This window comes from Homo sapiens, chromosome 15 (assembly GCF_000001405.40).
Source record: "Homo sapiens chromosome 15, GRCh38.p14 Primary Assembly".
Taxonomy (NCBI): Eukaryota; Metazoa; Chordata; class Mammalia; order Primates; family Hominidae; genus Homo; species Homo sapiens.
Genome location: NC_000015.10, coordinates 48,052,121 through 48,061,200, shown reverse-complemented (window position 1 = coordinate 48,061,200; position 9,080 = coordinate 48,052,121).

The following is a 9,080-nucleotide window of genomic DNA, read 5'->3' as shown; positions in this document are numbered from 1 at the left end:
GCAGCAAGTATTCCCTGCAAATAAACAGGAAGACGAACCAGGAGCCAATTACAAACGCAAGAAACAAATGTTGGTATAAGCCGTATACCAAAAATGAGGTGGAAGTTAGGGTGCAATAATTAGAAACATGGGAATTAAAAAAAAAACTAAATTGGCAAAGAACTAAGTGATCTACACCTAGGTCTTCCCAAAGGAGAATTATAACTTACTTTATTCTGCTATTTAAGACATGAATGTTGAGCTCCTACTCTGACACAGACACTACATTTGGCACTGAAGATGCCAGGATGAATAAGACCCTTTTCCAGCCTGTCAACAGCTTAGAGTCTAAGGCAAGGGTCAGCAGGCAGCAGGGTATGGCCCATGGGATGAGTCCCATACCCCTCCTGTTTTTGAACAGCTATGAGTTAAGAAGGGCTTTTACATTTTTAAATGGTTGAGCAAAAACACAAAAGAATAATATTTCCTAACATGTGAAAATTACATGAAATTCAAATTTCAATGTTTATAAATAAAGTATTACAGGAACGCAGTCAAGCTCATTCTTTTATGTATTGTCTGTGGCTGCTTTTGAGTCACAACAGCTGAGTTGAATACTTGGGGCAGAGATGACATGAACCACAAAGCCCAAAATATTTACCCACCCCTGACCTAAGAGGGGGACTGACACAAGAGACAAGCAAGTGACATATGAAATTACAGAGGTAAAAATGCACTCCAGCATATTTTTGGAGCATTGAGGAGAGGATGATAAAAGAAGCACAATTTCCACCTTCCTTAAGGTCATAGAACAAATGTATAACCAACATAAGAGAATTTAAAAACATTTCTTTCTGCCATCACCTAAACAAGAAGCCAAAAGATGATTAAAAAAAATGAAATATGTTATTACATTTCCAGGTTAACTAGTCTGTGTTTTACTTATTTTATTATTAGTAGTAATAATATTTCAGCTTTTCTTAGTATCAGTTTATACATGCAGGTATAAAGTTTGCTTTATGATCAATTCTCTTATATGTATTATTATAGCATTATTTATTCAAGATATCCTGCATGGGATGGAGTTTAAAAAGTAAAGATTCTTTAATTCTTAAGTATTGCAATCTGAAAGCCATTGGTCTGAACAGCTTGGCAAGCCTGGGTCTTTGGACAGAGTTCAAATGGCAGGTCTCCCAGCGAGGCCTGAGAAAAGGGTGCACTCTAAGAGATTTCTTTTCACTGGAGTCTCAGGACGGGGAGGGGCGGACTTTAGATGCCAGTGGGACAGGGGTGTCCTGTGGCAGCCGGCCATGCATGGCTGACCTCAGAGGCATTTTTAAAATGGGACTTCACACGTATCTCACTCAGAATTGCTGAGCAGAAAAAACAGATCCACGGCTTTTGCCTCCCGTTTTACCCTTTCACTTTTGGCTTTCTCTGGTGAAAATATAAGCTCACACTCTGATGGGCAGGAGATCAGGGATGACACAGGCCAGTGGTCCACATTGACGCGCTGAGAGGCAACATAACATCAGTTGTGGGGTTAGAAAGCATGTATTTGAATCCTAGTGCTGCCATTTAGCAGCTCCGTGATTTCGAGAAATTTTCTTAGCCTTTATGCTTCAGTGATTTTTAAATGAGGAAAATAATTGCAGCTATCTCATAGGGTTATTGTGAGGATTAAATAAATTAATTCGTGAAACCCATTTAGAACAATGCCTAGAACATACATGAATATTTAACATTTGCAGTGATGATGATCACGGTGGTGGCGGTGATGATGATGGTGATGATAAAACTATTACTTTTTTCTCAACCCTAAACACTATTTTAAGGATCTTGATGTTTTTCCTTGCACTGCATCTTCATAGGAAAAATCTTTCTGTCTCTACTTTTTTCTGAGGTCTTCTGAATTCTGGCTTCCCCCATTGTCTATCCTCTTTTTGTCCTACTTCTATCTTTTTAATCTTGACTATAATAATCAAGTATATGTGCCCAGGTGATAACTTTTATTATCAATGTGAGGGGCAGTTCAGTGGAGTGATTAAATGCTCTTTAGCAATACCACTCATGATCCAATTTCTGTCTTAGAGCATCAGGCACTTCCTCTGCAGCAGAAACGGTGACCACTAAATATCTGTTGGATTGAATTGAATTCCATTTTCACCCTGACAGTGATGAAGATCCCATTCTCAAAAATTTATTGCTGTTTCCAATTAGCCTAGAGCTTGAGAACTGGAGAGGTATCTGTTTATTTACATTTAACTTACCTGCTACCTTCTACCTGACTCTTTAGCTCTGGAAAACAGTTTGGAATCTCTGGCTCCTAATTTATAACAAGGTTTGTGTTATGATTCTTCAGACAGATTGATCCTTATCCACAATTTCCTGAAAGTCTTGCTTTAAGTGTATCCTTGCTAACCTCCTTACCTGTTCCCAGCTAATTTGTTATTGACTCAGCTTCCTCTGTTTCCTTGCACTTAGTTGCCCTCCTTAGTCTCAGAGTTGCTTGCAAAGGGCTGAATTTAGATTGCAATAGAGAGTGAGTGTTTTAATTATATATTTGTGTAACAAATGACCCCAAATGTAGCAGCCTGAAACAACAAACATTTATTATCTTGCAGTTTCAATGAGCCAGGAAACAGGAAGTGGGTTGTTTGGGTTATCATGACTTAGGAACTCATATTGCTGCAATTAAGATGACATCCAGGGATGCAGTCACCTGAGACTGAATTGGGTTGGAGGGTCTACTTCCAAAATCATGAACATGGCTGTTGGTGGAGGCTTTAGCTCCTTGCCATGCTAGCCTCTCCAGTGGCTGCTCACATGGAACAGCACTGGCTTCCTCCAGAGTGAGCAAAAGAGTGCCCAAGATAGAAGTTATATCTTCTATCTTGGAGGTAGCATACTGTATATATCAACACTGGTACTATATGAAGAGGACTACACAAGAGTATGAATAACAAAATGTGGGTTCCTTGGAGTCATGATGGAGGTGGACTATATAGTCTTGTCTCTGGCCTCTAATGATTCACATCATTCCCACAAGCAAAATACATTCATTCCTGATCACGACTCCTCCGAAGTTTCAGCCCATTAAAGTGTGACCTTAAAATTCAGAACCTTGTTATCTAATCAGATATAGGAGAAAATGAGGCTTCTCAGCTGTCATTCCTTAAATACAGCCCCTCAACGACAGTCTTCTTCACCTATGAAACTACGGAAACAAATTACTGCTTGCTCTCCACACCCAACATACAATGGCAGGACAAACATAGGATAACTGCTATAGTCATTCTTATTCAAAGGGAGGGAAAATGGGAGACATAAGGAAGTTACTGGTATTTCAGAAATAGCAATTCTGAAACCCAGCTGGGCAAATGTCAACTATTCCTTGAGTAAGGATTGAGATCCGGGAATAATTCCATGGCTCTCAGCTGTAGGCTGTTGGTTCGTTTCTCTGACTCACACTTTTATTTTTAAATAAACTTTTTATTTTAGAACAGTTTCAGAAGTACAGAATCTTGAACAAGCTGCTCAGCTTCTCCAAGCCTCAGTTTCCTTATCTTTCATTTTTATTTGGAACACCTTCTAATACGTTTCACTTGCTTGCTTCTACAAACTAGAAAACTACTACTCAATTTTCCTGTCACTTTCTCTAGGGTGCACTCTCTGCCCAAACCATGCTCAAGGTAGAGTTAGGTTCTCCTGCCACGTATTTTTACAGCTTCTTGCCATGCAGACAAACACAGTGTATTGGGATTATTTATTTTCTTGTCTCTTGTCTGTTGTTTTTCAGCACTCCAAGGGCTGGAATCCAAATTAATGTCTCAAAGAGAGAAGGTACTTAAGTATTTCTTGAATAAATTGAATACATTAAAAATTAATTTTATTTTTTTAACTAAACACACAGTAAATATATATATCATGTAATGACCATCACAATCAGGACACAGAGCAGTTTCATCACCCCATAAAGCTTCCACTTTCAATCACTTCCTCCATCTCTAGACATTGGCAACCACCACAGTATTCTCCATCAGTACAGTTTTGCCTTTTCCTGAATGTCACAGAAATGGAACAATAGAGTATATAACCTTTTGAGACTGGTTTCTTTTACTCAGCATACTGCCTTTGAGAGTCATGTAAGTTAGGCATTTCAATAGTTCATGCCTTTTTACTGCTGAGTAGATATACCACAGTTTGTTTATCCATTCACCCATTGAAAGGCAGTTGGGTTGATTCCACAAATGGAGCTGCTATAAACATTCGTGTGAACAGGTTTTTGTGTGAACATAACTTTCCATTTCTCTAGGCTAAATACTTTGGAGCGTTATTTCCAAGTCATGTGAGAAATACGTTCAACTTTGTAAGAAACAGCAAACTGTTTTCCAGAGTAGGTATATCATTTTGCATTTCCACTATTAATGTATCAGAGTTCCATTCCAGTTGCTGTGAATCTTTTCCAGCACTTGGCATTGTTAAGAATTTTGGAATCATTTTAATAGACGTATTATAGTAGTATAATAGTATTTCATATGGTTTAAATATACAATTCCTTAATGATGTTGAACATATTTTCATGTGCTTATTTGTCATCCATGTATTTCTTTTGTTGAAGTGTCTATTTAGTTCTGTTGCCTATATTTAAATTTTGTTGTTTATATTCTTTTTATTTTTGTTGTTGAGACAGGTCTTGCATTATTGCCCAGGCTGGAGTGCAGTGGTGCCATTATGGCTCACTGCAGCCTCAACCTCCCCTTCCTGGGGTCAAGTGATCGTCCCACCTCAGCCTCCCATGTAGGTGGAAGTACAGGTGTGTGTCACCATGCCTGGCTAATTTTATAAATTATACTTTAAGTTCTAGGGTACATGTGCAAAATGTGCAGTTTTCTTACATAGGTATACACGTGCCATGGTGGTTTGCTGCACCCATCAACCTGTCATCTACATTAGGTATTTCTCCTAATGCTATCCCTCCCCTAGCTCCCTACCCCCTGACAGGCTCCAGGGTGTGATGTTCCCCTCCCTGTGTCCATGTGTCCGCATTGTTCACCTCCCACTTATGACTGAGAATGTGTGGTGTTTGGTTTTCTGTTCTTGTGTTAGTTTTCTGAGAATGATGATTTCCAGCTTCATCCATGTCCCTGCAAAGGACATGAACTCATCCTTTTTAATGGCTGCATAGTATTCCATGGTGTATATGTGCCACATTTTCTTTATCCAGTCTATCATTGATGGGCATTTGGGTTGTTTCCAAGTCTTTGCTATTGTGAACAGTGCCATAATAAACATACATGTGCATGTGTCTTTATAGTAGAATGATTTATAATCCTGTAGGTATATACCCAGTAATCAGATTGCTGGGTCAAATGGTATTTCCAGTTCTAGATCCTTGAGAAATCACCACATTGTCTTCGACAATGGTTGAACTAATTTACCCTCCAACCAACCGTGTAAAAGCATTCCTATTTCTCCACATCGTCTCCAGCATCTGTTGTTTCCTGACTTTTTAATGATCATCATTCTAACTGGCATGAGATGGTATCTCTCTGTGGTTTTGATTTGCATTTCTCTAATGACCAGTGATGATGAGTTTTTTTTCATATGTTTGTTGGCTGCATAAATGTCTTCTTTTGAGAAGTGTCTGTTCATATCCTTCTTCCACTTTGTGATGGGGTTGTTTGTTTGTTTCTTGTAAATTTGTTTAAGTTCTTTGTAGATTCTGGGTATTAGCCCTTTGTGAGACGGATAGATTGCAAACATTTTCTCCCATTCTGTAGGTTGCCTGTTCACTCTGATGGTAGTTTCTTTTGCTGTGCAGAAGCTCTTTAGTTTAATTAGATCCCATTGGTCAATTTTGGCTTTTGTTGCCATTGCTTTTGGTGTTTTAGTCATGAAGGCTTTGCCCATGCCTATGTCCTGAATGGTATTGCTTAGGTTTTCTTCTAAGGTTCTTATGATTTTAGGTCTTACGTTTAAGTCTTTAATCCATCTTGAGTTAATTTTTGTATAAGTTATGAGGAAGGGATCCAGTTTCAGCTTTCTGCGTATGGCTAGCCAGTTTTCCCAACACCATTTATTAAATAGGGAATCCTTTCCCCATTGCTTGTTTTTGTCAGGTTTGTCAAAGATCAGATGGTTGTAGATGTGTGGTGTTATTTCTGAGGTCTCTGTTCTCTTCCATTGGTCTATATATCTGTTTTGGTACCAGTATCATGCTGTTTTAGTTACTGTAGCCTTGTAGTATAGTTTGAAGTCAGATAGCATGATGCCTCCAGCTTTGTTCTTTTTGCTTAGGATTGTCTCAGCTATGCGAGCTCTTTTTCGGTTCCATATGAAATTTAAAGTAGTTTTCTCCAATTCTGTGAAGAAAGTCAATGATATCTTGATGGGGATAGCAATGAATCTATAAATTACTTTGGGCAGTATGGCCATTTTCACGATATTGATTCTTCCTAACCATGAGCATGGAATGTTTTTCCATTTGTTTGTGTCCTCTCTTATTTCCTTGAGCAGTGGTTTGTAGTTCTCCTTGAAGACGTCTTTCACATCCCTTGTAAGTTGTATTCCTAGGTATTTTATTCTCTTTGTAGCAATTGTGAATGAGTTCACTCATGATTTGGCTCTCTGTTTGTCTGTTATTGGTGTATAGGAATGCTTGTGATTTTTGCACATTGATTTTGTATCCTGAGACTACAGACAGAGTCTCACTATGTTGCCCAAGCTGGTCTCAAACTCCTAGACTCAAGAGATCCTCCTGCCTTTGCCTCCCAAAGTGCTTGAATTACAGGCGTGAGCTGCTGAGCCCATTCTGTTGTTTGTACTCTTAACTGTTGAGTTTTGAGGGTCCTGTATACATCCTGGATACAAGTCCTTTGTAGCTTATGTATTTAAAAACACTTTCTCCTGTCTGTAGCTTGTCTTCTTCATTATCTTAGTGTCTTTTGCAGAACAAATTTCTAAAAATTTGATGAAGTCTAATTTATCTATTTTTGTAATGAATCATGCCTCATGCCTTTTGGAGTCATTTCCATGAACTTTTTGCCTACAGATTTTCTCCTATGTCTTTTTTTCTATATGCCTCATGGTTTTACATTTATATCTGTATCAATTTTGAGTAATTTTTGTGTATGGTGTGAGGGATAGGTCAAAGGTTTTTTTGCATATGAATGTCCAATTGTTTCAGTACCAATTGTTGGAAAGACCAACCTTTAACCATTCAATTACCTTTGCACCTGTCTCAAAAATCAGTTAGCCACATTTCTGAATTCTCTACCTGTTCAGTTTATTTGTATGTTTATTTCTCCATCATTGCAAATTGTCCTGATGACTGTAGATTTAAGTAAATCTTATAATTGGGTAGGATGATTTATCCAGATCTTCCTTTTTCTTCAAAATTATTTTGAAGAAATAGCTCCTTTGTCTTTCCATATTCCAGTTCCTTTGCCTTTCCATATAAATTTTAGAATCAGTTTGTCTGTAACAAAAATCTTACTGGGATTTTATTGCAATTGCATTAAATCAGTAGGACAACTTGAATCTTCTAATTTATATACATGAAATAGCTCCCCATTCTTTTTAAATTTATTTCATTAGCATTTTATAGATTTTAACTTACATAGCCTGCGTGTTTTATGATATTTATACCTAAGCATTTTGTTTTAAAAGAAATTATTGCAAATGGTATTGTTAAATTTCAGTTTTCAATGATTGTTCATTGCCTATATAGAGAAATAAAACAAATTTTGCATGTGACCTTGTATACTGAGACTTTACTTTATTCATTTATTAGTTACAGGAGGTTTTTGTTTTTAAAAAATCACTACTATGGGACTTTCTGTATAGCAATCATGTTATCTGTGAATAGAAACAGTTTGTTTCTTTTTTTTCCATCTGCATTCCTTTTGTTTTTTTCTTGTCTTATTGTACTGGCTAGAACTTCCAGCACAATGTTGGATGGGGTGGTGAGAATGGCCATCCTTGGCTTGTTCCCAGTCTCCTGGGGTGTGATGATTAATTTTATGTGTCCACTTGATTGAGTCATGGGATGCCCGGAGAGCTGATTAAACATAATTTCTGGGTGTGTCTGTGTGGGTGTTTCTGTAAGAGATTAGCATTTGAATTGGTGGACTGAGTATAACAGGTGGCCTTCCAGAGTATGTGTGGGCTTCATCCGATCTATTGAGGACCTAAAGAACAAAAAAGCAGAGGAAAATTGGATTTTCTCACCCTCTGCCTGACTTAAGCAGCTTGAGCTGGGACATTGATCTTCTGCCCTCTGTGCTCCTGGTTCTCAGGCCTTCATAAGTCTACTGGAATCTGCACAGTTAATCCTTTACCCCTCAGGTTTCTGACTACACCACTGGCTTTCCTGGATCTCCAGCATGGATTTATAAACATTCCATTGTTTTTTTATTTCTCCAGAGAACCCTGACTAACACAGGGAAAAGCATCAAATCTTTCTCAGTTCATTATTTCTCCAAAATTCAATATATGTTGATGATAAAATCTCTCAGCAAACTAGGAATAAAATTGAACTCCCTTAACCTAACATACCTTTCATTAGGTTAAAGAAGTTCAATTTTATTCCTAGTTTGCTGAGAGATTTTATCATCAATGTACACTGAATTTTTTCCAAAGTTTTTCTGCATCAAATTAATGTGATTATGAGGTTTTACTTCTTTGTCTGTTAATATGGTGAATTACATTGACTAACTTTCAAATACTGAACCAGCCTTATATTCCTAGAATAAATTCAATGTGGTCATTATTATTACATCTTCATGTATGGCTGGGTTTATATTTAATTAGTTTTGTTGAGAATTTTTACATCTATATTTTTGAGGGAGATTGGTCTATAATTTTCTTTTACTATCTTCAGTATTTGGTATCTTTGGCTTTGGTTTTGGCTGGAGCCATAAAATGAATTGGAAATAGTTTTCTCCTTTTCAATTAGAGATTGTGAAGAATTTGCATTATTTCTTCTCTAAATGTTTGGTAGAGTTCCTCAATAAAATTATCTGGACCTGGAGATTTCCTTTTCTGAGGATTTTAAACATTAATTTCATTTTAAAAATAGTTATGGAGTGTTTGGGGTT